We start from the raw sequence: 27,767 nt of genomic DNA, 5'->3' as shown, positions 1-27,767 counted from the left end.
TGTCACCTCCATTGGCATGCAGTGGTGCAATCATGGGTCATTTGCAGCCTCGACCTCCTGGGCTTAAGTGATTCTCCCACCTCAGCCTCCCAAGTAGCTGGGACTACAGGTGCTCACCACCATGCCCAGTTAATATTTTGTATTTTTAGTAGAGATGGGGTTTTGCCATGTTGCCCAGGCTGGTCTCAAGCTCCTGGGCTCAAGTGATCCTCCCACCTCAGCCTCCCAAAGTGCTGAGATTGCAGGCATAAGCTACCACACCTAGCCCCTAATCTAGCCTTCCTTCCTTTCTTTTTTTTTTCCTCTAGGCAAAGAACTTTATTAACCTTTGTTTCAAACTTTATTCCCAGGCTTCTTCGGCCTAATTAACTGTAAAGAATGAACTGTGTGTAAGCACAAACTGAAAAGAGCTGCAGTGTCCAAGGGGCTTGGGCTTAAAAATATTAGAGATCTAGATTTTATCAGATTCATAAACAAAAAATTCTTGAAAAGCAGTCATAATATAAAATGGCAGCTCCCAGTAACTTCTTCAAGTTTTATCTTCAGAAGTTGACTCAATTCAGTTTGCCTCATTCTTGGAAGCCTCATCAAAATTCTCCATGATACCTGGAACTTCATCATCGTCATCATCCTCTCCAGTAGCAAGTGGTGCTTTTCCATCCACAGATTGTTTGGGCAGAGCTTCAGCCAGTCTCCTTAAACTAGTCAGACTGACTGCAGCAAGCTGGTTTAAGACGCTGCGTAGCATTTCTGTCAGCTGCTTTGTCTCACCATGGCCTGTAATGGTGAAAGTGTTCACTGCCAGAAATGCCTGAACTTCAGGGTTGTTAAAGTGGATCATTGTTCTTTGGAGTTTTTCCTGGTTCATGATTGTTTCTTTCATCTTCTCAGAGTGGATAAGGGGCCACGCGGGGGACTAGGCTTGGTGCTCAGGGGCTCTTGGGTGGACCAGCTGAGACTAGGCGCACACACGTGGTGATGCAAGATGGCAGCTAAAGCCTTTCTTTTTCTCTCTCTCTCTGTCTCTCTCTCTCTCTCTCTCTCTCTCTGTCTCTCTCTCTCTCTCTCCTCTCTCTCTTTCTCCCTCTCTCCTCTCTCTCTTTCCCCACTCCCCTCCCATCCTCTCCCCTCCCCTTCACTTCCCTTTCCTTTTTCTCGCTCTGTTACCCAGGCTGGAGTGCACTGGCATGATCATAGCTCACTGCAACCTTGAACTCCTGGGCTCAAGCAATCCTCCCACCTCAGCTGGGACTACAGGCATGCACCACCATGCCCTGCTGTTTTTAAACTTTTTTTTTAGAAAAGGGGTCTCACTTTGTTACCCAGGCTAGTCTTGAACTCCTGGTCTCTAGTGATCCTCTCTCCTCAGCCTCCCAAATCGCTGAGATCATAGGTGTGCTCCACCATGCCAGACTCAGACAATTGCTCGAATGAGACTGTATTTTGTGATTTAAAATGCCCATAGAATGATCTTATACCTTAGAGTGAGCAGAAAAATTCTGGAGTCCTCATAATTTTTATCTAATGGCAGGAAAGAGCTTTCCTCATGGAATAAATTTTGAAGGAGCAGTGGGTAACAAAAATAAAGTTGCTTTTTGATCACATCCCATGAGCAGTGCTGGTCCAACAAATGGATTTGGTGGTTAATGGTGAGCGTCAGGCCTCCTAAGACCAACCTAATCTGCAGGGTTCCTTGCTGTGGGCCCAGTGGGAGCAGAGCAATCTGGGAAGAGTGGGTGAGCCCAGCTCATTCTGTGGGAGGAGTTGCTTCAACAGACTTGGATTGAGGTAAAGGCTGAATTTAAAAATATATCTTTTAATAAGGTGATACATTTGCAGACAGAGTTATTGCCCATGTCGAAACTTTGTGGGACAGATTCCTCCTCCTACTTGGTTTTTGTTGTCATTGTTGTTGTTTGGTTTCGTTTTGAGACAGGGTCTCACTCTGTTGCCCAGGCTGGAATGCAGTGGTACAGTTACTGCTCACTGCAGCCTTGACCACCCCAGGTTTAGGTGATCCTCCTGCCTCAGCCTCTTGAGTAGCTGGAACTATAGGCCTGCACCACCACACTCAGCTAGTTTTTGTATTTTTTGTACAGACAGGGTTTTGCCATGTTGTCCAGGCTGGTCTTGAACTCCTGGACTCAAGTGATCTGCTCATCTCAGCCTCCCAAAGTGCTGGGATTATAGGTGTGAGCCACCATGCCCGACCCCCACTCCCATTTGTGATTTGTGCAGAATTTCTGCCAGCCCCTCACATGACTCATGAAGGGTGAGAATTTTCCCCTAAAGTCTCCTCCAGAAGCCCACACTAGAATCTACCACACTAACCAAATTTCATCATGTGATGTTTCACAAGAAATTAGAATGAGTTATATCCATGCTTGCAGGCAGAGAGTGGGTCCAGTTTGGAGAATCTGACCCCAGTGACAAGTCCAGCTCCTCGGGGATTTTTTTTTTAATTTTTAATTTTTAGTTTTTTGTAGAGATGGGGTCTCACTATGTTGTCCAGGCTGATCTCAAACTCCTGGCATCAAATGATCCTCCCACCTTGGGCTCCCAAAGTGCTGGGATTACAGGCATGAGCCACCATGCCCAGCCCTCCTTAGGGATCTTGATAAAAGATATTAATGGAAAACTGGATTAAGATCTAACATACTTATATATTCTTCCAGGCTCCCTGAAGCTCCATAAGTCTTTGATTCTGTGTCTTCTTGGCTGTAGCACAGTCTAAGAGTCAGAATTTTTGCCATTCTCCAGGCAGTGTAATGTTTGTACTGTGTGTGTGTGTGTGTGTGTGTGTGTGTGTGTGTGTGTGTGTGTTCTGTGAGCTGCCACGGCCACCGCTGCAGGCTGCAGCTGGTGTTGATGGTGCAGAAGCGCTGAGTCACTGGCTGTTTAGCGACCCTTACATCACGTTCCATTGTCCTTTCTTCCTTTCTAGGCTTTGAGAGCCCTTTCAGTGTTTTCATTTTGTTTTGTTTTTGCCCAGGGCCTCTCCCTGGTAGGAAATCAGGGTGTAAAAACTGAGAGGGTGCTGGGGCTCCCGAACAAAGCTGTGCAGAAGGACAGTGGATCCCTGCAGGCTGCTGAGGACACCCAGCAACCCAGATTCACGTGCTGGAAGCACACGAGGGCCCTGGGCCAGCCCCAGCGAGGCCCCGGAGCCCCAGGGTGGGCTCTGACTGACATTTTTCTGCAGCTCTCCCTGCTGTGCTGGTTTCAACTAGAGCTGATGAGTTTAACAATCTCTTTATAAGTTCTGAATCCAACGTTCTTCGTGCCCATTTTAGCACAAGTGTAACAGGTGGTGCTAATTATCAGTGTGACATAAATTCTTGGAGAGGTAGCCTCTGGAGAGGGCTATACAGATTTTTTTAAATGACTATTTTGACCCAACGAGCTTGTCACTTTATTACAGTTGTTTTGTTATTAAAAAATACCTATTTATTATGGAAACATTGGGGAAAAAACAAAACATCATAAAGGATGAAGTAAAGGTTATTCGTATTCCACCACCCAGAGATGATCACATTTTGATATATAATCTTCTAATATTTTTTCTAAATATGGATTGATATGCACGTACGTTTTACATAATTGGGCCCACATTGAGCATTTTATTTAAACTGAAAAATATGCTGTGAATATACTCTTACGTCATTGAGCCATATTCTAGAAGTGCTGCAAATTAATGCAGTATGAGCAGAGAGATAAGATGCATCTTGGATTGTTTTATTTGCTGTCAGTTCATTTCTATTTGTAGGATCTTTCTCTTGCCAGAATAGCCTCATTTACAAGTCCTGTCCCTTCCTTCCACCCCTGCAAGGGAGCTAAAGCATTTTCTCAGGTAATCATCCCACACTATCTCTGCATTTTTTTTTTTTTTTGGTATATAAACTATTTATTAACAGACAAGGCCTACAGACTTATTCCTTCTTGGACACACCCGTAGTACAGCCATGGCAGCCAGTGGTCTTGCTGTGCTGGCCTCAAGACACGAAGGCCCCAGAGGTGGCGCAGCCCTCTATGGGCCTGAAACTTCTTCAATCACTCCAGGTGGTCACAGAACTTGTTGTCCATTGGCTGGGATCTGGCTGTATTTTCCAGACTTTACATCCTTCTGTCTGTTCAAGAACCAGTCCGGGATCTTGTACTGGCATGGATCCTGTATAATGGTGATCACACGTTCCACCTCATCCTCAGTGAGTTCTCCTGCCCTCTTGGTGTGGTCAAAGTCTGCTTTCCTCAACACCGCATGAGCATATCTTCGACCCACAGCCTAAATGGCAGTGATGGCAAAGGCTTTTTTTCCACCGCCCACCGATGCTGGTGTTGAGTACTCGCAGAATATGCTGGAACTCTTCAGGGATCACTAGAGACATGGTGGCCACAGAGGTGGCAGCATGTAGGCCTCCTGTGGAGGAGAATCTCTGCTTTTTTAAAAATGCTTTCTGGGAAGCCCTAGGACCAGCTAAGATCTATCTGGATCAGTAGTTCTCAATCTTGAGCTCACATCAGAATCTCCTGGAAGGCTTGTCAAAGGAGATTGCTGGGCTTCACCCCTGGAGTTTCAGTAGGGCTGGGGTGGTAGACAAGTTCCCAGGCAAATGTTACTCATGTTGGTTTTCTACTGAGAACCACTGATTTGGGGGAATGGATGAACAATTTGCTTCCTCCAAGCCCTCTCCCAGCGTTCCTTGGCTACTTGTCTTTTTCCCTTAGAGCATTTATTTTGTCTCTAAATTCTTTGCTTGTAACCACTCCCTATGCTGTCTTCTCGTGGTGTCACTCATGCATACAAAGGACAGAAATATTTTCTTAATGGAGGGCTGGAATCCAAAGGGTTCAAGGAGCCCCCTAGTATCCGTGAGAGTAGAAACCAGGGTGATTCGTCCTTCCCTGTCACAGCAGCACAGTCTCCTGAAGAGCTGGCTCAAAAGGAAATGCACAGATGCCCGGACTATTTGTTAAAGGAAATGGCACATTATCCTCTTCCCAACATCTGGTCATTCCTGAAAGACAGTCAAGCCCCGATAATACTGTTGACTCACTCGAAGCCTGTGTCTTCTTTCCCGAGGGAGGTGGAGACGAACCAAGGAGGATAGAATCTATTTTTGTGTCGGCCCAAGGGGACGCCTTGGGGAGGGGACGAAGGGTCACCCACATTGCTGTTCTGTTCTGGGAGCCAGGAATGCATACTTCCTTCCTGTCCAGCCCTGAGCAACAGTCTCTTTCTCAAGTCTCAGATCTTCCACAGAGAGCTGGAAAGATTTTTAAATGCCATGGTGGGCTGGAATGGCTGGACACCAGCATAGATGGACTGATGAAATGGGAAGAGATTTGGCAGGACGCAGGGTGTTGAGGTTGCAGCAAAGGCAAGAGAGCTGTGTTGGGTTGAGTGACTGTCACACTGTGCAGTCAGGGCTCAGAGGCTGCATCTGGCTGCCTCTTCATTAGGAAATGCGTGTGTTTTTTTTTTCATCTCTAAGGCATCTTCTAGGGGCTAAACATGGAGAAAGAATAAGAGGGGTGTGAGTAGGGTGTCTGGTTAATTAACCTGGAGGACTTGCCCAGGTTGACTTTGCACAGGTAAGGAGAAGTAATACCCTGAAATCCACCTGGAGATCCAGGGGGACCCCCTCCAGCATCTCAACCAGTTGGATTAAGTGAAGCTGAGTTCTGAGAGAAGGAAGTTTCATTCTCATTAAACTAATAGAGGGCCTCCTGGACTAGGGAGGGGATGGGGAGAGGTGGGGAGAGGTGGGGAGGGCACCTCTGCCTTTGGAGCTAAGGGCATTTATTGTGCCAGGCCTTTGTTTTGTTCCAGCCAGGGCACTCTGGCGAAGGCATCCTGGGAATTTGGCCTGCAAACAGAAAGGGCATTTCCTTGTGTGGGTTTCCTGTTTAGGTCTGCGTAGAAACCCAAAGGATCGCTTGGCCTCATAAATCCTCTAGACATTACTGGTGTAGATGCTCTGGCTGGATGCCATGGGAAAATCGCACAGAAATAGAAGAAGGGAGGAAAGCACATTTACTCCCAGGATGCTGGGTGGGTTTCAGGCTCCCTGCCTTCAGATCTGTAAACAGAGGAGGTTGGGCTAGAGGGGATGATCATTCAGGTCCCCTCCAGCTTTGACAATCTCAGGTTCCATTTCCCTCTCAAGGGTCAGCGGGAGCTGGCACTGTGAAGCTCAGGCATGGGAGTCAGCTGAGCAGCTCACCAAACAGAAGCATGAAGAAAATTTCAACCAAAAAATTAGAAAGTTGCCTTGGAATATCCTTTAGGCTCCTTCACAGAAAGAAGGTGCTTCTGAACTCTGGTATTTCCCAGACTTTCCTAGACGCTTAGCGTATCCCAAAAATGACAGCTACCAGGGTCAGGAGTATTGTGGAGTCTCGTGGATGGGTTTTGGCACAAAGCAAGTTTGCAGAGCTGGCAGTGAATAAGGTGTTTATTAGGAGACATCACCCATTTCAGGTTTCTTTTTTTACTTCCAGTTTCCCTCAATTTCTGTATATGTCAAATTGCAGTTTGGCATTCACACTTGTTGGTTTAATGGAAGAGGCATGTTTTCATTCTTAATCTGTGGATGAATTCAGATTCTGCGCAGACTGCACTTGGAGATTGACCAGACTTTAGGTCAGTTGGGAAAGTCATGGGGCAAAAACAGGATTTCTTATGGAGATTTCCTGTGTCAACCCAAGCTTTGTTCCAGTAAGAACATGCTCATCATCTTCAACGATGCCTCTTGTGTTACCTTATTTTCTCATTTATCCTTATTTGCATCATTTAGAAAATGTGTTATATAGAACTGTCTTTTTTGGGAGGCAAATAATGAAATGATATTGAGTAACATTAAATTAATTGCTTGTAGTCAGACAATGCAGCGTTCTAGTAAATTAATTGGATATTTTACTTAAGCAGGGGTAGACCCACTTATGAAGCAATATTTCTCAAGACAAGATTGCCCCCTTAGAATTCAGCATGGCTCTATCCTCAGTTCTCTCGGGTGCGAATCGTGGCATTTGTCTGTGAACCTCATACCCTCAAACATGTCCTTACAGATAAACACATCCACAAAGGAAAATCACTTCCAAGGTCCCATTCTGTTATTTCTTTTCCAAATTTTGCTTTTGTGTGTCTGAAATACATTCTTCTTTTCCTCCCACCAACTCTGAGCTGTTTCTTCAATAATGAAGTAGGTGGAAGAAGAAGGAACATGATAGGAAGTTCTAAGCTTTCTGGGTCCGTGCTCCTTAGAACACTAATCCTGAGAAATGTGCTTTAAAAGGGAGTCCTGTGGTCACACAGGGGTTGGGAAATGCATGTTTGCACTCTGCTGTGTTAAAAGCTCTGAAAATTCATGCAATAAAGAAATATGTTTGACTTTAGCTCAGCATTTCCCAAACTTATCTGATCAAGAAAATATCTTTTTATATTATGTGTATAGCAGATATTAACAAATGGAGGAATAAGTGTTCTATGTGACACTTTGAGAAATGCTTCCTACTGAAAAATAGAGTTCACTGTCTTATATTTAGTACTGGGGATAAATATATGTATTTATGTTATAGTATATAATATGAATATTTATAATATATGTTATATATTATATGAATCATTATATTATAGTATATAATATTATATAACATAAATATAAATATATTTATAGTGATAATAATATAAATATTATATATGATATATAAATGTTTATAATTTATATTTATATTATAACATTAACATAATTCTAATATATAATATATTCTATATTACATTACATATAATTATATTATGTATTGTATTATATAATATAAATATAATATGTATAATGATAATTTTATTTGTTTATTTATTTATTTTTTTTTTTTTTTGAGATGGAGTCTCGCTCCATCACCCGGGCTGGAGTGCACTGGCAGGACCTCTGTTCACTGTAACCTCCACCTCTGGGGTTCAGGCAATCCTTCTGCCTCAGCCTCCTGAGTAGCTGGGACTACAGTTTCTTGCCACCACACCCAGCTAATTTTTTGTGTTTTTGGTAGAGATGGGGTTTCACCATGCTGCCCAGGCTGGTCTCAAACTCCTGACCTCAAGTGATCTGCCTGCCTCGGCCTCCCAAAATGCTGGGATTACAGGCGTGAGCAACCATGCCCAGCCTATAATTATAATTTATATTTACATATATAATTTATATTCATAATGTTTATATCTCAATATTTATATTATATATAAAGTGGAGGAATATATATAACATATGATAAACATTCCCATTACCTTTTCATATATACATACTTTATATCTGATATGGTTTGGATCTGTGTCCTCACCCAAATCTCATGTTCAGTTGTAATTCCCCATATGGGAGGTGGACCTGGTGGGAAGTGTTTAAATCATGGGGGCAGATTTCTCATGAATGATTTAGTACCATCCCCTTGGTACTGTCCTTGCAATAGTGAGTGACTTCTTTATGAGATCTCGTCATTTAAAGGTGTGTAGCACCTCCGCCCTCTCTCTCTTGCTCCTGCTCTGGCCATGTGAAGTGCCTGCTTCCTCTTCACCTTCTGCCATGATTGTTAGTTTCCTGAAGCCTCTCCAGAAGTCGAGCAGATGCCAACATCATGCTTCCTTTACAGCCTGCAGAATTGTGGCTAATTAAACCTTCTTTTCTTTATAAATTACTCAATCTCAGGTATTTCTTTATAGCAATGCCAGAACAGTCTAATACAATGTGTATATACTGTATGTGTGTGCATATCAATAATGTACTGGAAATGTTGCTGCTCTTTTCAGAATTTTCAGGATGAACATAGCTATGAAAAGATCTTTATAAAAAAAACATTAGAAACACATCATCATTTCAATTGTGTCTATTGGTGTTTGGTAGATGACAGGTGAGTCTTTTTTTCTTTCTATTTTTTTTCCCACAGATCTTCCACAATGAATATGAATTATTTCTATATTAGATGCAAGAAACAAAATAAATTTTAATTTTTAAAAAGAGTCCACGTACAAGGTTCCTTTTATTTGGTCTTCATGCAGAGAAGCCATCAGATGCATCTTCCTGCTTCCTAGTCATTTATCTGAGCTTGCTTGTGGTTCTATGGCACACATCTACTGAGGTCCTGCATGGCAGTTTCGGGAGCACACACAGCTTCTTCAGTTTTAAGAGAAAGTAAAGCAATTAGCACATAGTGGGAGGATCGGTAAGAGTGCAGGAAATGGCCTCATCAAGTCCACCAAACTCAGTTGTTCCTGGATTGTGTGTTCAAGAAGAAACAGATGGTCTATCAGACAGAATTCTTGGTTGCCACCAATGGAAATCTCAGTTGGAAAGTGGATTTATTGGAAATGTATCATATGGTTCAAAGAATCAGTGCAAGGCTGGAGAACCAGGTGATGAAATTGGATAAAAATCTAGGGAGGCCTCATGACCTAGCACTGTGGGAGGCCAAGGCAGGAGCTCAGGAATTGAAGACCAGCCTGGCAGCATAGAGAGTCCTCATCAATTAAAAAAAAAAAATTAAAAATTGGCCAGGCATGATGGTGCGTGCCTGTAGTCCCAGCTACTTAGGTGGCTGAGGCAGGAGGATCGTTTAAGCCCCAGGTCGAGGCTGTAGTGAGCCATGATCACACCACTGCACTCCAGCTTGGGTGACAAAGCGAGACTGTTTAAAAAAAAACAAGGTGGCAAGGCACAAAGATATTCTACTTGGCATGCTGCCATTGGTGTTGTCAATGCTGGGCACTTGTCATCATGCTGCTGGGCTCTGGCACCCCTGAACACTCATTGCTGCGCTGCTGGACACTCAACTCCAGCACAGCCACCGCCAAAACGTTCTGCCTCCCCACAGTCTTCCTGTCCTACTGGGGCCACTGATCAGCTGAACCCAGGGTAATATGCTGGTTCCCTAGCTGCTGCGCCAAAGAAAGAAACTCTCTGCCCTCTTTGGCTTCTGAAGTAGGAAATGGAGTCTTGCCTCCCTTCTTTTGGATGCTTCTTTCCAAAGGGAAAGGATGTTTAAAGTCTGGGTAGCCAGAATGACCAATAAACATAACATTTAGGGATTCTGTAAAGCGGCTGCCAGGATCTCGGAGGGGCAGGGGATAAAGCAGCCAACCATGCTCAGAAGTGGTCTCCTCTCCCAGAGCCACATGCAGCATGGTTTTCTTTCTACCGGGAATCCTGAGATGGGAAAGGTTCTGCCAGATTTCTTAATCAGTTGGTTGAAAGTCTGCCCCTCGGAAGAACTGACCCCTCTGGATAAAAACCGCACTAAATAACAAAATAAGAATGACCATTTTTTAAGGAACCTGGGGGCAGAGGAAGTATGCCTACCTGGCCGGAAGGGCTGGGGTTTCTCACTCACTCTGTCAGCCACACGGATTGTCTGATGGACCCTGACCAGGGGAAGTGAAGGGGAAACAGAGCACTTGATGGATTGTTTTTTCTCTGAAGAACTTTACAGTTTAGGGAAGCAGATTAAATAGATTGATATTATCTTAGAGAAGGGCCCTATAAGTGCAGGGAATGAGAAAGGAGTGAAAAATGTAAACATGGATTTTTTTATTGACTTCCTTATTCGGGAACATATCTTTCTGCTTGCAAATGTCCAAATGTTGGGGCTGAGTCCAGAGACTAAAAGATGAAATCCAAGGAGAGAGTCAGGGTGGCTGTTGGTGCTGTGGGATTCTTAGACGCCAGACACAGACCCTAATCTGGACTACGTAGGAGAAAACCTGTGGGGTTAACTACTTCAGAGTTTGGAGTCTTTCAGGTAGAACTGGAAATCAATGATTAAGAAATGAGAGGCCAGGCGCAGTGGCTCATGCCTGTAATCCTAGCACTTTGGGAGGCCAAGGCGGGTGGATAACTTGAGGTCAGGAGTTCAAGACCAGCCTGGCCAATATGGTGAAACCCCATCTCTACTAAAAAATACAAAAAAAAATAGCCAGGCATGGTGGTGGATGCCTGTAATCCCAGCTACTTGGGAGGCTGAGACAGAAGAATTACTTGAACCCAGAGGTTTCACAGTGGAGGTTGCAGTGAACTGAGATCACGCCCCTGCATTCCAGCCTGGGCAACAGAGTAAGACTGCTTCTTAAACAAAAAAGAACAGTAGAACTAATATGGATCTGCTCACCTCAGAGTAAGTGAGGTATAATTTGAGAACCCCGCAAAGTTGACCTTATGTAATCTTTATATTATTATAATATTCTACAGTGAGTTGCTTCTTGGTTGTCAGGACATCTGCACAGCTTTCATCATTGACTGGGGCCTTTTGAGGACTGTCTATACCATAGTCCCCCCTTATTGACGGTTACACTTTCCACAGTTACAGTTACCTCTGGTCAACTGCAGTCCAAAAATATTAAATGGCAGGGCATGGTGCCTCACACCTATAATCCCAGCACTTTGAGAGGTAGAGGCAGGAGCATTGCTTGAGCTCAGGAGTTCAAGACCAGCCTAGGCAATATAGTGAGACCCTGTCTCTACAAATAAAAATTAAAAATAGCCAGTTGTGGTGGTGCATGCCTGTAGTCTCAGCTACTCAGGAGGCTGAGGCGAGAGAAACACTTGAGCCTGGGAGTTCAAGGCTGTAGTGATCCATGATCACACCACTGCACTCCAGCCTGGGCAACAGAGCAAGACCCTGTCTCAACAAACAAACAAATGAAAAACCCAAAAAGATTAAATGGAAAACTCTAGAAATGAACAATTCATAAGTTTTAAATTTTGTGCTATTCTGAGTAGCATGATGAAATCTCAGGCTGTCCTACTCCATTCCTGCCCAGGATGCGAATCCTACCTTTTTATCTGCACAAAATCATTTAGCCATCTTGATTATCAGATCAGAAAAACATAGTATATGTGAGGCTTGGTTCTATCTGTGGCTTCAGGCATCCACTGGCAGTCTTGGAATGTATCCCTTTCAGATAAGTGGGGGACTACTGTATATTCTTAGAGAAAGGGCTTCCAAGCTTGGGTACTTAGATTCTTCAGTTGGACGAGGATCAGGATTATGCCTCCCAGAAATGCAACCAAGACAACAAAACAAGCACAAGTCTTTGGTAGAATGCATTGTAGAATGCATTCTTACACAGTGGATCGTATTCTTCCTGGGAACACATGCTAGAAAGAGAAGAGCAAATCTTTAGGAACATGAGAATGTACTACACCTTAGAGAGTGCAGCTATGTGCAAGTACTCAGTCACCTGGAACTGAATCTCAACTAGAACCAAATTTCACTGACACAGACAAAGTTAGTGATCAGTGTGCAAGAATATCTGAGTCATGATGAAGGAAGAAATGATTAAGGACTCAAAGGATCTCTTGAAATTGGAAGCCTATCCATTCCTAGGAAATTTGAGACAAACCACATGGTGTCTCTCCTGTAACCCCAGCATTTTTCCAGGGAAATCTTTGAAGGAAAAAGGTCACAAAAAGGTAGACTAAGGGAATAGAGTGAAGACAGAGAGGCATGGTGGGGGGGGATATTCCATTTTTCTCTTCACTGCCTCTACGGTGGTAGATTGGAACAGGAGGTAGGAAGTAGATTGGAATTTCTAGTATCCAATATAGGGATAGTGCATTTCACCTTTTGCTGTGTCCCAGGGTGAATAGACAGTGAAAGGGAAGCATAAGCCCTCACGAAAGAGCCTGATATAGCAAAACTGCTATAGGCCAGGGAGGTAGGAGGCAGACAGGGCTGGAGCTCTGCATGACACTTGAGGTCTCAGGCCTGGGCCCAAGAGATGAGTCTGGACACAGAATAAACATCTTTGTTGTCAGTTATATTAAAACATGGTGTCTGGCTGGGCACAGTGCTGCACGCCTACAGTCCAAGCTACTTGGGAGGCTGAGGTGGGAGGATTGTTTGAGCCTGGGAGTTCGAATCTAGCCTAGGCAAAAAAGTGAGACCCTGTCTTTAAAAAAAAAAAAAAAAAGATGGTGTCTGTAACCAGATGACTGTCTTTAATCCTAGCTCTACACCTCTTGCTAGCAGTAGGACTTTGGAGAAATTACCTAACCTTTCTGTGCCTCTGTTTATCACTTGTAAAGGGCAATAAGGATATGACCTGCCCCATAAAGTTTTCATGAATATTAAATACATTAATTCATGTAAAGTGCTTAGCACATAATAAGTGTAACCAAGTGACTGCTCAATAAGCATTAGGCTTCAATTTTATTCCAGGTGGTTAGAATATGCCAGAACAAGGGTAACATTTTTCACCTACAAGGCTTGCGTGGGACATCCAGGTAAACTTTCATTCAGATTAAGGTCAGAAAATGCCACGGCCATTACTTTAATCTGACTGAAGTTGATGAAGCATCTCTGTGGTGGAAATATTTAACTTACATCTGTAATATTAACAGATTGCTGGTGTTAAAGTCTTATTAGTGGCAAATGCTTTGTTTCACCGAAGCATTTCCTAAGCAGTGGCACAACATGGTTGAAATGTGGCCATCCTGGGTCTTAGTTTTAAGAGCCTTGAGGCCGGGCACGGTGGCTGATGCCGGTAATCCCAGTGCTTTGGGAGGCTGAGGAGAGAGGATTGCTTAAGACAAGAAGTTTGAGGCTACACGGAGCCATGACCATGCCACTGTGCTCCAGCCTGGGTGACAAAGTGAGATCCTGTCTCCAAAAAAAAAAAAAAAGATCCTTGAAAACAGAGTCCTCAGAAATGAGGGGGACTTTAGCGTCTTGCAGCGTTTCTCACACAGGTGTGTCAGTCACTGGGATTTGGGGACAATTTGAGCATTTTAAAATGTATGTTTCAGGCCAGGTGTGGTGGCTCATGCCTACAAGTCCCAGCACTTTGGGAGGCTGAGGTGGGAGGATTCCTTGATCCCAGGAGTTTGACACCAGCCTGGGCAACACAGTGAGACCCTGTCTCTGCAAGAATTTGTTTTAAAAAATTAGCTGGGCATGGTGGTGTGCTCCCTGCAGTCCCAGCTACTCAGGAGGCTGAGGCTGGAGGATTGCTTGAGCCCAGGAGTTCAAGGCTGCAGTGAGCTATGATGGTGCCCCTCCACTCCAGTCTGGGTAACAGAGCAAAACCCTGTCTCATAAAAGATAAAGAAATAAATAAGTAAAATTTATGTTTTTATAGGATAAAACTTAGTTCCTTAAATTAGTTTTTTTTCTCAAACTGGAGCTTGTAGATGTTTTTTTTTTCCTTTATGAGGTGCTGGTGCATTCCTGAAATTTGAGGAATGTTGATATAACAGAAAGGACATGGGCTTTGAAATCAGACAGATCCATAGTCAAATTCAGACTCTTCTCCCTGGGAGAACCTGGGCGAGTCACTCAGCCCCACTGAGCCTCGACTTTGTCATCTGGAAAATGGTGATAATAGCTACGCACAATCTTGCTATGAAGAGTGCATGCAAATGTAGGGGCTCAGCAAAAGTTACCTCCCATCCTCTCGCCTATGTTCTTCTCCCGTAAAGAAAGAGGAGAGGAGTTATTCTGCCTTCTTGAATGAAAGCAAAGAGAAACTCAACTGAGATATTCAACAGGTTTGTACTGGAGACTCGGTGATTCAGACAGAGATGTTGTGGTAGACTGAATAACGCCCCCTCAACTCCTAAAGATGTTTACCTCCTAATCACTGGAACCTGTGAAAGTTATATGGCAAAAAAAGAATGTTGCAGGTGTGATTAAATTATAGATCTTTCGACAGAGGGATTGCCAGTGAGCCCTAAATAAGAGGGAGGAAGAGGAAGATTCAACACAGACAGAAGAGTAGAAGGCAACATGGCCAGGGACTCAGAGACTGGAGTGATGTGGCCACAAGCCGAAGAAAGGAGCAGCCACCAGAAGCTGGGAGAAAAGGAAAAGAGCGAATTCTCCCCTAGAGCCTTGGGAGGGGCTCAGCCCTGCCGGCACCTTGATTTCAGCTCCGTGAAACTGACTTCAGGCTTCTGGCCCCCAGAACCATGAAAGAATATATTTGTTTTAGGTTTCCACATTTATGGCAATGTTTTACAGCAGCCATAGGAAACTAATACCGATGTTTGCTCATGACTGAAATAAATAATGTTAAGATGGGGTGGAAATGATTGTGCTCAGTGGCAGAAATTTAGGAACTCCTGAGCAAACATTTTAATTCTGTTGTCTAGTCCTTGGCTCCTAGGCCGACAGGTGTGAAGAAGAGAAAATCCTTTCTAATAATATAGAACTTTCACACTGTGGCTTGAAACCTTTAGTGGGCTGAGACTTGCATGTTGTTTGTTTGTTTGTTTGTTTTTTAAGTGAACTAGAATAGAATAAAAAGCCTGACACTCTGTGCTGTTGTCATCACAAACCAAGGGCTTGCCCACTCTTTCCTATGTGAAGCCGTTACACATGGTCTTCCATGCACTCTCCTTCCTCCTCTTACCACTCTTAGTCAGGTGGCCACTAACATGCTCCCATGGCACCTTGTGCTTTTGTTATTATGGTCCTCATCACCTTGTAATACATTATTGGCAATTCATTCAGTGAGTGTGCTTCTGGTCCTACTGTGTCTCAGGCACTTTACTGGGTGCTAGTCCTTTCCAAGTGTCTCCTCCTTGGACAGCCATTTCCCTAAGGAATAAGTTTTTATTGTTGTTGGGTTGTTTGTTTGTTTGTTTTCTGAGATGGGGTCTTGTTCTGTCACCCAGGCTGGAGTGCAGTGACATGAACATGGCTTACTCCAGCCTTGACCTCCCGGGCTCAAGCAATCCTCCCACCTCAGCCCTACTACCCAAGTAGCTGGGACGACAGGCGCACACCACCATGCCTGGCTAATTTTTTATAGAGACAGGGTCTCCCTGTGTTGCCCAGGCTGGTCTTGAACTCCTGGACTCAAGAGATCCTCTTGCCTTGGCCTCCCAAAGTGCTGGGATTACAGGAAAGAGCCACAGCTCCTGGCCCAGGAATAATGTTTTAACATCTGTATCTCTAGTGCCCTAGGCAGTGCCTGGCATTCCAAAAGGTGCTTGAATGGTTATGAGTTGTGGTTTTAGAATTATTTTTTGTTTGTTTGTTTTGGTTTGGTTTTTATTTTTGTTTTTGTTTTGAGATGGAGTCTCGCTCTGTCATCCAAGCTGGAGTGCAGTGGCGTGATCTTGGCTCACTGCAACCTCCCCCTCCCAGGTTCAAGCGATTCTCCTGCCTCAGCCTCCCGAGTAGCTGGGATTACAGGTGCCCACCACCATGCCCAGCTAATTTTTGAATTTTTAGTAGAGACGGGGTTTCACCATGTTGGCCAGGCTGGTCTCGAACTCCTGACGTCAGGTGATCCACCTGCCTCGGCCTCCCAAAGTGCTGGAGTTACAGGCATGAGCCACCGCTCCCGGCCTAGAATTATTCTTTTAAACAAATTCAAATGGTGGTTGGGGGCAAGTCATCTGCTCTGGCCCTGTTAGGTGTGGGACAGGACATTGCTCTATGGGAACTGGCCTGACAGGCAGGCATGGGTTTGCTAGAAGCATGGTCATAGAAATCCTCTATTTGGGCTTTTAAATTGTAGTGGTCCCTCGGTAGAGTTGGACACATTTTCTCTCTTCTCCAGGTCACCCTCCTGCCATAAATCCTGGACCAGCTAGAGGAGGAATCACTTGACTGATGAAGAAATGGAAGGAGTGCATTGTGAACATTGGAGGCCGTCCTAATTGCAGGACCAGCTGGAGAAGATAGCCTAAAATAAATTTCAGTCATACAGGAATTTTTGAAAGAAAAGGATACCTTCCTTTCCCAACTTAGGCTCTTCTGCTAACTTATTGTAACATCATCATGTCCTTAAAACATCAAATATGAGAGCCAAATTATACTCAGCAGTGTCTTAGGCAACAACCACATATGTATAATATAGACAATGATATCATGGCTGACTCAATATAATCACACCCTTGCTCATAAACCCTATCTTTCTTTCTAGGCATTCAAAGCACATGACAGACATTATCTTATTGCTTTTCCCAACACACTTGCCAGGTAGACAGGAAGCAGGTATCATTATTGTCTTCATATCATGTAGGTATAGACAGCTTTCCTGGGAACTGTTTGCTCAAAGCCCCACTGGCAATAAGAGCTACTGGGAAAAAAAATGGCTAGAGTCCTAATTTAAAAAACAGAACTTCCTGCTGAGGCAACTTCAGGTCACAATGCTGGGATATTTCTGATTTCAGGCATTCTTAGATGGGGGCACAATGGGTTAGTTATTTTCCTTTATTTGCAGGTGTTTCAGAGGGAATGAGGTAGCAGATACAATCAAATCGATGCAACTATTGGCACTTTCTGAGTGTTCAGCATCTATGGGGAACTTCAGCATCTATTTTCTTTCCAAGATGGCAGTGGCATTACCAAGCATAGCTCAACGAAGTACGACTGGCAATATAATCTGAAACATCAATATGATTCTACAATGTTTTGCCATTAGAGGCAATTCTGCTATCATTGAAAACATTTAGAGTTGTAGAGGCCTGAGTTCAGGTGCCAGCTCTGACATTAACTGGTTGAGTACTTTTGAGCAAGCCCTTGATCGCTCTGGTTCTCATTTTTCTTATCCACAAAATGGGAACAATATTTACCTTCTTCGAAGACACTAAGGGTAAAAAGAGATCATATATATGTTTCATAAACATTGAAATGCTATAGAAAAACAAAGCATTACAAAGATTAGACCACTACAATTGCAGGCCCTAATACAGGTTATATTTTCTATCAATGGGGCCTATTTCCAATGGGTCATCTGTGCAAAAAATATGTCTTTAAAACTGTAAATTAGGCTGAGCCCGGTGGCTCATGTCTATAATCCCAGTATTTTGGGAGGCCAAGGTGGGCATATCACTTGAGGCCAGGAGTTGAAGACCAGCCTGGCCAACATGGTGAAACCCTGTCTCTACTAAAAATACAAAAATTAGGTGGACATGCCTGTAATCCCAGCTACTTGGGAGGCTGCGGCAGGAGAATAGCTTGAACCAGGGAGGTGGAGGTTGCAGTGAACCAAGATGGCGCCCCTGCACTCCAGCCTGGATGACAGAGCAAGGCTCTGTTTTTAAAAATAAAAATAAAAAAATTAAAAAGAAAACCTGTAAATTATTATCTCCCTGGGAAATCAGGAGAAAAGAAAATTAAGAGGAGAAAGGAGGCCTAGGGCTATAGGTCTATCAGAATTTAAGGAATGTTGACAAATATGAACCGCATGCCTATGTGGTAGAATTCAAGTCTATATACACTGTACAGCCCAGGAAGCTTGGAAAGTAAAGCTTTCCTGTGCCCTCTGGAATGTGGACCCTTTGTCCACGATCTACAAGGTAAAGAATTCCATAGGAAGTATGTATTTAATTAATTGTAGCCAGAAATTAGATATGGGTAAGCCAGATTCCATTGTGCGACGTTATTGCTTCTTCAACCTAGATACGTGGATACTTTAACCCAAGCTCAAACCCACAAGATTTGAACTCCTAACCTTTAAAACGCAAGGCAGCTACTTTGACCACCAGGCATCCTGGTTCTTGTTTACCAGGACTGGGAGTTCTCCTCAGACAGAGCCCCATTTATTCCATGACCCTAGCAGAATAACACTAAGAAACCCAAAAGCATATCCATTTTGAAATAGTGTCTGTGGCACCAAAAGGATTCTGGAGCTCTGAATCAGCCCCTTACCTCATGGCAAAATTTACAGGCTTGCAGAGTTAAATAAAAATCAGATTGGAATGCAGGGACTTCTATTTTTCTGTAATGACATGTTGTGAGGAGAAGGAGGGCAATTTTCTTGGACATTCCTCTAAAACCAGTGCACTTGCAGTGGCTTTTTTGTTGTTGTTGTTGTTTACAAAACTATCCTAAACAGACCCAGGGCTCACTGCCATCTCCGGGTGCCAGGACTCTGGGCCACAGGGGCCATTTGTCCAGGGAATAGAATTAAAATCAATAATTATTCCTTTCACCTGGCACATGTGAGCCTCTTCTCAAAGCAGTCAGAGAGTGGACTTTAATATCTCATTCTTTCTCTGAAGTAATTTAATGATCACATAAGAAAAATGATTCTCTGAAAATATAATCTTAGAATTTGGCTCCACCTCCAAGTTGAAAGAATTTTGTAAGGAAAGAAAGAAAAAAACACTCAAGAAATATGTCTACTCCTCACGTCTGACTGTGAAAAGTCTATATACCATGACCTGAAAAGGAAAGATAAACATAGTCCATGAAATTCTGTGGCAAAAAGGAATGAAAATGTGCTTAAGAAAAAAAAACCCAAAAACTGGAATTGTATTCTCTGCAGGTTTAAAGGCAACCTTTGCCAAAATCTGCTTTCTGGAAACTTTCCTCTAGACCTGGCTGCTACCATCAGCCTTGGCTGCGGGAGAGAGACCTGGAAGACTGTGGTTTGGAATATGTGAATGTTAAAATCAGACATTGTTCCCTTTTCTTTACAACAACAAGTCTTTGGTTTTGGCTATATACATGCTGGGTTTTCCGGTACCACGTTGTTCCTTTTTTCACTAGAGGTCAGAACTATTGAAGGGATCTTGATATTTTTCAGTTTGTTTCCTTTTTGACCACTGCTCTCCCCTTTCTTACAATGCCCTTGAGAAGCTAATGGGCTCTGTTTCCATGCTGAAATGAAGAAATGATCGAGCGAGTATGAAATGACGCGTGGAAGGCCACACAGCAAGTTGGAAGAAGATTCTGGATGAGAAACTTGAAATTTCCATGTCCTCCCCAGGTCTGTAAATCCAGTCCACTAAGCTAAGTTTTTCTAAGACATTGAGGCCCAAAGATGCATGCTGAACCACAGGCATGAGGTGTGACTTCAAACCAAGAGTCAACACTATGCGGAGTGACTAGATACAGAATGCTCTAATAAAATAATTATCACCTGCTGGGGCAGAGTTAAGCTTAAAATCACCTTACCGTGGATTATTCAAATTTATAGCATATTACATATAATTCAGATAGAACAGGGTAATGTTCAACCTAATCCCATCTATGAAAAGATTGTGGAACAAACAGCAAATATTAAATATAGGAACTGTGTCTCAGTTACATGTCATATGTCACATACATAAGAACAAGAATAGGAAATAACAGAATCAATTATTATTGCATCACGGGGAACTATATTTTCAAGAAGCACCTACTGAACTTGGAAGTCATTCTCTTTAACAAAAAATGGTAGTCCATGTAACCTAACATATTACACAGCAGCAGCAGCAACTGAAAAAGCTGTTCCCAGGCAAAGGGCACATGCCAAAGTCATTTTTATAGGATCTTAAGCAGATCTTGCTCTGTTTCAGTGGAAGGTAGAATCATGCAAGAGGAAACTGGGAATGTGCAGGGCTAGAACCACAGAACATCACAAAGAGCCTTCTTAAAGGAGCAGTGGTGGGCTGAGTGATTGGGAATGCTCTGCAATTAAAGGCATACCTGGTTTAACTTTTTTTTTTTTTTTTAAGAGATGAGGCTGTCACTATGTTGCCCAGACTGTCTTGAACTCCTGGGCTCAAGTGATTCTCTCACCTTGGCCTCCCAAAGTGCTGGGGTGACAGGTATGAGCCACCATGCCCCAGCCTATCTTTGACATTTTTCTAACAGCATGTGCTCATTTCATGGTCTCTGTGTCACGTTTCTGTAATTCTCACAATATTTCAAACTTTTTCATCATTATTATTTCTGTTATACTGATCTGTGATCAGTGATCTCCAATGTTACTGTTGTAATTGTTTTGGGGAGTCATGGGCAGCACCCACATAAGAAGATGAACTTGATCAATAAATGTGTGTGCTCTGATTGCTCCACCAACCGGCTCTTCCCACTGACTGGCTGTTCCCCCATTTCTCTCCCTCTCCTCAGGGTCCTCCCTATTCCATGAGATACAACAGTATTAAAATTAGGTCAATTAATAACCCTACAGTGGCCTCTTAAGTGTTCAAGTAAAAGAGTTGCACATCTCTCACTTTATTTATTTATTTAATTTCTTTTGAGACGGAGCCTCACTCTGTTGCCCAGGGTGGAGTGCAGTAGCACCATCTTGGCTCCCTGCAACTTCTGCCTCCTGGTTCAAGTGATTCTCCTGCCTCAGCCTCCTGAATAGCTGGGATTACAGGCATGAGCCACCACACCTGCCTAATTTTTGTATTTTTAGTAGAGACAGGGTTTCACCATGTTGGCCAGGCTGGTCTTGAACTCCTGACCTCAGGTGATCCACCTGCCTCAGCCTCCCAAAGTACTGGGATTACAAGCGTGAGTCACCACGCCCTGCTCACTTTATTTAATTTATTTTTTGAGCCAGGGTCTTGCTCTATCACCTAGGCTAGAGTACAGTGGTGCCATCTCAGCTCACTGCAACCTCTGCCTCCAGGGCTTAAGAAATCCTCCCACCTCAGCCTCCTAAGTAGCTGGAATTACGGGCAAGCACCACCATGCCTGGCTAATATTTATATTTTTTGGTAGAGACAGGGTTTTGCCATGTTGCCCAGGCTGGTCTCGAACTCCTGGGCTCAAGCAATCTGCCTGCCTCAGCTTCCCAAAGTGCTGGGATTACAGGCACATCTCCCACTTTAAATAAAAAACTAGCAATGATTATGCTTAGTAAGGAAGGCACGTTGAAAGCTGAGATAGGCCGAAAGCTAGTCCTCTTGTTCCCAACAGCTAGGAAAGCTGTGAATGCAAAGGAAAAGTTCTTGAAGGAAATTAAAAGCACCTCTCCATGGGACACATGAATAAGAAAATGAAACAGTCTTGTTGCTGAAATAGAGAAAGTTTTAGTGGTCTGGGTAGATCAAACCAGCCATAACATTTCCTTAGGCCAAAACCCAATCCAGAGCAAGGCTCTAATGCACCTCAGTTCTCTGAAGGCTGAGAGAGGTGAGGAAGCTACAGAAAAATGTCTGAAGCTAGCAGATGTTGGTTCATCAGGTTCAAGGAAAAAACTGTCTTAATAACATGAAAGTGCCAGGTGAAGCAGCAAGTACTGATGGAGAAGCTGCAGCAAGTGACACAGAAGATCTAGCTGAGATAATTAATGAACAACAGATTTTCTACATAGATGAAACCTTTTCTATTGGAAGATAATGCCATCTAGAACTTTCGTAGCTAGAGAGAAGTCAATGCCTGGCTTCAAAGCCTCAAAGGACAGTCTGAATTTTTTGCTAGGGGCTAATGCAGCCAGTGACTTTAAGTTGAAGCCAATGCTCATTTGCCATTCTGCAAGTTCCAGGGCCCTGAAGAATTATGTGAAATCTACTCTGCCTGTGCTCTACAAATGGAACAGCAGAGCCAGGATGATAGAACATCTCTTCACAGCATGGTTTACTGAACAGTTTAAGCCCACCATTGAGAACTACTGCTCAGAAAAAAAAGATTCCTTTCAAAATTTACCTGCTCATTGATAATGCACCTGGTTATCCAAGAACTCTGATGGAGCTATACAGGAGATTAATGTTTTCATGCAAACACAACATCCGTCCTGCAGCTCATGCATCAAGGTGTAATTTTGGCTTTCAAGTCTTATTGTTTAAAAAATACTTTTTTTTTTTTTTGAGATGGAGTTTCGCTCTTGTTGCCCAGGCTGGAGTACAATGGCACGATCTTGGCTCACTGCAACCTCCGCCTCCCGGGTTCAAGCAATCCTCCTGCCTCAGTCTCCCGAGTAGCTGGGATTACAGGCACCCACCACCACGCCTGACTAATTTTTGCATTTTTAGTAGAAACAGGGTTTCACCTTGTTGGCCAGGCTGGTCTCAAACTCCTGACCTCAGGTGATCCACCCACCTCGGCCTCCCACAGTGCTGGGATTACAGAAATGAACCATTGCGCCCAGCCGATAAATACATTTTGTAAGGCTATAGTGGCCATAGATAGTGATTTCTCTCATAGATCTGGGCATAGTCAGTTGAAAACCTTCTGGAAAGGATTCACCATTCCAGATGCCATTGAGAACATTCATGATTCATGGGAGAACATATCCATGTTAACAGGAGTTTGGAAGAAGTTGATTCCAACCCTCATAGATGACTTTGAGGACTTTAAGACTTCAGTGGAGGAAGTCACTGCAGATGTGGTAGAAAGTGTAAGAGAACTAGAATTAGCAGAGGAGCCTGAAGATGTGACTGAATTGCTGCAATCTCATGATAAAAGTTTAATGGATGAGGAGTTGCCTCTTATGGATGAGCAAAGAAAGTAGTTTCTTGAGGTGGAAACTACTCCTGATGAAGACACTGTGAATATTATTGAAATGACAACAAAAGATTTAAAATATTACATAAACTTAGTTGTTAAAGCAGCAGCAGGGTTTGAGAGATTGACTTCAATTTTGAAAGAAGTTCTACTGTGAGTAAAATGCCATCAAATAGCTTTGCATGCTACAGAGAAATCTTTCATGAAAAGAAGAGTCAATCGATGCAGCAAACTTCATTGTCTTACTTTAAGAAATGGTTGCATTTTGAAGAGCAGGGGGAGCGGGGGGCTCCTCTAAACCAAAAAGCAGCAGAGTTTGAGAAGCCGGCAGCTCAGGGTTCGGCTGAAGTTAGGAGTGGTGGGTGGCCGCCAAGTGCACGGGGTTGAGGGTGTCCTGGTCTTTGGCTTCTCAACTCTGTCTTGTTTCAACAGAGAACATGTCGCGATTCTTCAGAACTAGGAAGGTTTGTTGATTACTCACAGTTTCAGGAATCTGGTGATGCAAATGAAGATTATGGAAGAGATTCGGGCCCTATCACTAAGAAAATTTCATCATCTCCCCTAGAAGCTAAAAATAAGGCAATCTGGAAAGAATTCACAGGAAGATAGTGAGGACTCAGAAGAAAAAGATCTGAAGACAAAGAAGGATGATTTTCACTGAGCAGAGGATAATGAAGATGAAAATGAAGATGATAAAAATGTACGCCAGCACAGCAGGCAGCATCTAAAGCAGCTTCCAAACAGAGCTCATGGAAGATGTGGGCATGAGGAAGAACAAGAAGAGGATGAGACACCCTTCCAGGAGAATTCCAGCAGCAATGAAGATTTCCTGATGGAAGATGATGACAATAGTGACTATGGCAATTCAAAAAAGAAAAACAAAAAGATGGTTAAGAAGTCCAAACCTGAGAGAAAAGAAAAGAAAATGTCCAAACCCAGGCTAAAGGCTACAGTGACGCCAAGTCCAGTGAAAGGCAAAGGGAATGTGGGTCGCCCCACAGCTTCAAAGCCATCGAAGGAAAAGATTACTTCTCCCAAGGAAGATGAGGTACCAGAAAGCCCGCCAGAAAAGAAAACATCTACAAGCCCCCACCCAAGAAATCTGGTGATGAAGGCATCTGGGGAGGCTTAAAAGCGTTGATGGTTTGGGGAGAGCTTTTAAGAAAAGGAGAGAAGAGGAGGAAAGGAGGAGAGGAGGAGAGAAGAGAAGGAAAAAAAAGAAAAAGAAAAGAAGAAAAGAGAGGGAGGAAAAAAAGAACCTACTTAAGATAGAACATGGTTTTGTCTACGGCTTGACCCATGGGCTTTCAGTGCTTTTTTCCAATTGTTGAAAGTAACACTTCTCTCTCTTTTAAAAATAAAACCATTGTATGTTTAATTGTTTAAATTACCTTTTTGTCTATTGGTCTCTTTGCCAATGCCCCCACCCACCCCCAGCTGCCCTTTCCCAATGAAAGCTATGTCAAATTAATCACTGGATTGATGGCTTCATCTTTTTATTTTTAATGGAAGGTGTACCGCAGTTGTAAAGCAGTAAGATTTGAGATGAACACTATGGAAACTTTGCTTCTTGCTGAACAATAGCAAGTTGAATAGTAACTAAAAAAACGTAGACAGATTTTAGTTCAAAATGATTGCTTCTTTCTCTACCTGGACTTTTAAAAAATCAGTTGTCATCCAATATGAGTTTATTTGTCTATGTACACAAGTATAAATGTCTAAAAAAACATGACTTTAAACTTACACTGATGAGGCAAGTAGAAGATAAAGATGAATTCTGAACTGGTTAAAAAAAAAGAAATGGTCACAGCCACCCTGTGATGATGGTTAATTTCAAGTGTCAACTTGACTAGTTTAAGGAAACATACAAACCTCTAAAAGTGTCATTTTGGGGTGTGTCTGCAAGGGTGTTTCTAGAGGAGACTTGCATGTGAGTCTGAGTGGACGAGGAGGGGAAGATCCGCCCTCCGTATAGGCAGGCACCATCCAATCTTCCAGGGGCCTGGAGAAAACAAAACAGAAAAAGGCAGTTATGTTGCACTGTCTGTTGGAGCTGGAATACACTCTTCCTCTCCTATCCTTGGACAACAACTTCAGGCTCTCCAGTCTTTGGACTCCAGGACTAAAACCAATGGCTTCCCCTGTTCTCAGGCTTCTGACTTCACACTGAGAGTGACACCACCCGCTTCCCTGGTTCTGAGGTCTTTAGACTTGGACTGAGCCATGTTACCAGCATCTCAGAGTCTCCAGCTTGCAGTCAGCCTGTTGTGGGGCTTCTTAGCGTCCATAATCACTGAGTCAATCTTCCTAATAAATCCCCTCTCATCTACCTATCTATCTACCCTATTGGTTCTATCTCTTTGAAGAACTCCAACGAATATACATGCTAACCCCCAGCAACAACCACCCTGATCAATCAGCAGCCATCAATGTCAAGACCCTTCACCAGCAAGATTATAACTTGTTGAAGACTTGATTATCATTAGCAATTTTTCTTTTTGAGAGAGAGTCTCACTCTGTCGCCCAGGCTGGAGTGCAGTGGCACAATCTCAGCTCACTGCAACCTCCGCCTCCCAGGTTCAAGCGATTCCCCTCCCTTGGCCTCCAAGTAGCTGGGACTATAGGTGAGTGCCACCACACCCGGCTAATTTTTTGTATTTTTAGCACAGACAGGCTTTCACGGTGTTAGACGGGATGGTCTCGATCTCCTGACCTCGTGATCTGCCTGCCTCGGCCTCCCAAAGTGCTGGGATTACAGGCGTGAGCCACCGCACCCAGCCTATCATTAACATTTTTTAGCAATAAAGTGTTTTTAAAGTATGTACATTTTTTAGACATAATGCTATTGCACACTTAATAGACTACAGTATAGTATAAACATAACTTTTATATGCACTGGGGAACAAAAACGTTCATATGAATCACTTTATTGCAATATTAGCCTCATTGCAGTGGTCTGGAACCGAACCTGAAATATCTCTGAAGTATGCCTATATAAAATTCTTCATACCAGAAAGAGGACTTACTGATAGAGGAAGGTGTGGGATATAGGCAATGTGTGTGACAGAAAAAGATCAGTAGACGACAATAAACCAATGGCAATGGAAGGATCAAGAAGGACCAAGAGAGAGAGATTTCTGTCCATCAGGCTTGTCTAAAATGAAAACCAGAGGCACATTGTGTATCATTTATAGCTTCATGTATGCATGTATCTGTCTAAGTTAACTGTTTATGGTTTTCTATGATGTTGGCACAGTAATTTTACACTATTTGTATTGATTTTATAAAATCAGGTTAAAGCCATCTCTTATTATTAGAGATTGATACTAGAAATTTTAGTTAAAGATGCAGGTAAAATGCATGCATTAACTCTTATTCTCAAGTTATTCTAAAGAGTAATTAAACAGATTTTGAAACACAAAAAAGACATAAACCACAGGGACAAAGAGGAGAGGAGAAAGCAAAAACAAAATTTCGGATGGTGGAAAGCACTCAGACAAGTGACAACTGAATTAGAAGACCTGAGGGTGTCAAATTGTATAGCAGTGGTTGGGAAGCTGCGAAGAGTCCAACTTACACTGAAGAACTCCCAAAGTCTTAGGAACTGGTAACAAGGTTCTTCTTAAAGTGAGGTTGAAGGTGAGTGAAGATTAGCAGATAAGAGGAAAGTCTAGTTAAAAAGCTGTTAGATGAATGAATGAATGAGTGAATGAATGAATGAATGAAAATAGGGTAGATAGATAGGTAGATGAGAGGGGATTTATTAGGAAGATTGGCTCACGTGATTATGGACACTAAGAAGCCCCACAACAGGCTGATTCTATACAATGGAATACTGTTCAGCAATGAAGAAGTTCTGATTCATGTTACAATATGTATGAACCTTGAAAACATTATGCTAAGTGAAAGAAGCCAGTCACAAAACACAACATATGGCATTATTCTATTTATATGAAATGCGCAGAATAGACAGATTCATAGAGACAGAAAGAACAGTTGACTCTTGAACAACATAGATTTGAACTACATGAGTCCGCCTATATGTGGATTTTCTTCTGCCTCTACCACCCCGGGACAATAAAACTCAACCCCTCCTCCTTCTTTTCCTCCTCAGCCTTCTCAATGAGAAGACAATAAGGATGAATACCTTTAGGATAATTCACTTGCATTTTGTTTATTTTTTTTCCATAGGTTATTGGGGTACAGGTGGTGTTTGGTTACATGAGCAAGTTCTTTGCTGGTGATTTGTGAGATTTTGGTGCACCCATCACCCAAGCAGTATACACTGCACCCTATTTGTAGTCTTTTATCCCTCTTCCCCATCCCACCCTTCCCCACAAGTCCCCAAAGTCTATTGTATTATTCTTATGCCTTTGCGTCCTCATATCTTAGTTCCCACATATCAGTGAAAACATACGGTGTTTGGTTTTCCATTTCTGAGTTACTTCACTTAGACTAATAGTCTCCAAGATCATCCAGGTCACTGTGAATGCTGTTAATTCATTCCTTTTTATGGCTGAGTAGTATTCCATTGTATATATATATATATACCACAGTTTCTTTATCCACTCAATTGATGGGCATTTGGGTTGGTTCCATGATTTTGCAATTGC

General features: G+C 43.0%; 1 long non-coding RNA gene and 3 pseudogenes across 1 annotated transcript in view, besides 1 other annotated feature; 1 reads left to right on the top strand and 3 right to left on the bottom strand.

Moving 5' to 3' along the window:
- On the bottom strand, nt 305-998 carry BTF3P9 (basic transcription factor 3 pseudogene 9; annotated as a pseudogene).
- Nucleotides 3,891-4,429, bottom strand: RPS18P3 (ribosomal protein S18 pseudogene 3; annotated as a pseudogene).
- On the top strand, nt 11,129-24,738 carry NUCKS1P1 (nuclear casein kinase and cyclin dependent kinase substrate 1 pseudogene 1; annotated as a pseudogene).
- Nucleotides 16,401-16,593: a silencer, noted in NCBI's record as "fragment chr1:227606019-227606211 (GRCh37/hg19 assembly coordinates)". NCBI's record gives its function as "represses an EF-1alpha promoter that drives an FKBP-Casp9 reporter gene in an ReSE screen in phorbol 12-myristate 13-acetate-treated (for megakaryocytic differentiation) K562 erythroleukemia cells {active_cell/tissue: K562(+PMA)}" and the evidence as "EXISTENCE:reporter gene assay evidence [ECO:0000049][PMID:32094911]".
- LINC01641 (long intergenic non-protein coding RNA 1641) overlaps nt 17,193-27,767 on the bottom strand; it is a 24,165-nt gene continuing 13,590 nt past the window's right edge. Inside the window, exons 3-4 of the long non-coding RNA NR_187381.1 lie at nt 25,027-25,156; nt 17,193-17,575 (exon numbers count right to left, since the gene is read on the bottom strand). This is a non-coding gene — a long non-coding RNA (long intergenic non-protein coding RNA 1641). The remainder of the gene's footprint in view (nt 17,576-25,026; nt 25,157-27,767) is intronic.

Source organism: Homo sapiens, chromosome 1, assembly GCF_000001405.40.
Source record: "Homo sapiens chromosome 1, GRCh38.p14 Primary Assembly".
Taxonomy (NCBI): Eukaryota; Metazoa; Chordata; class Mammalia; order Primates; family Hominidae; genus Homo; species Homo sapiens.
This window is presented reverse-complemented; position numbering and strand designations above follow the sequence as displayed.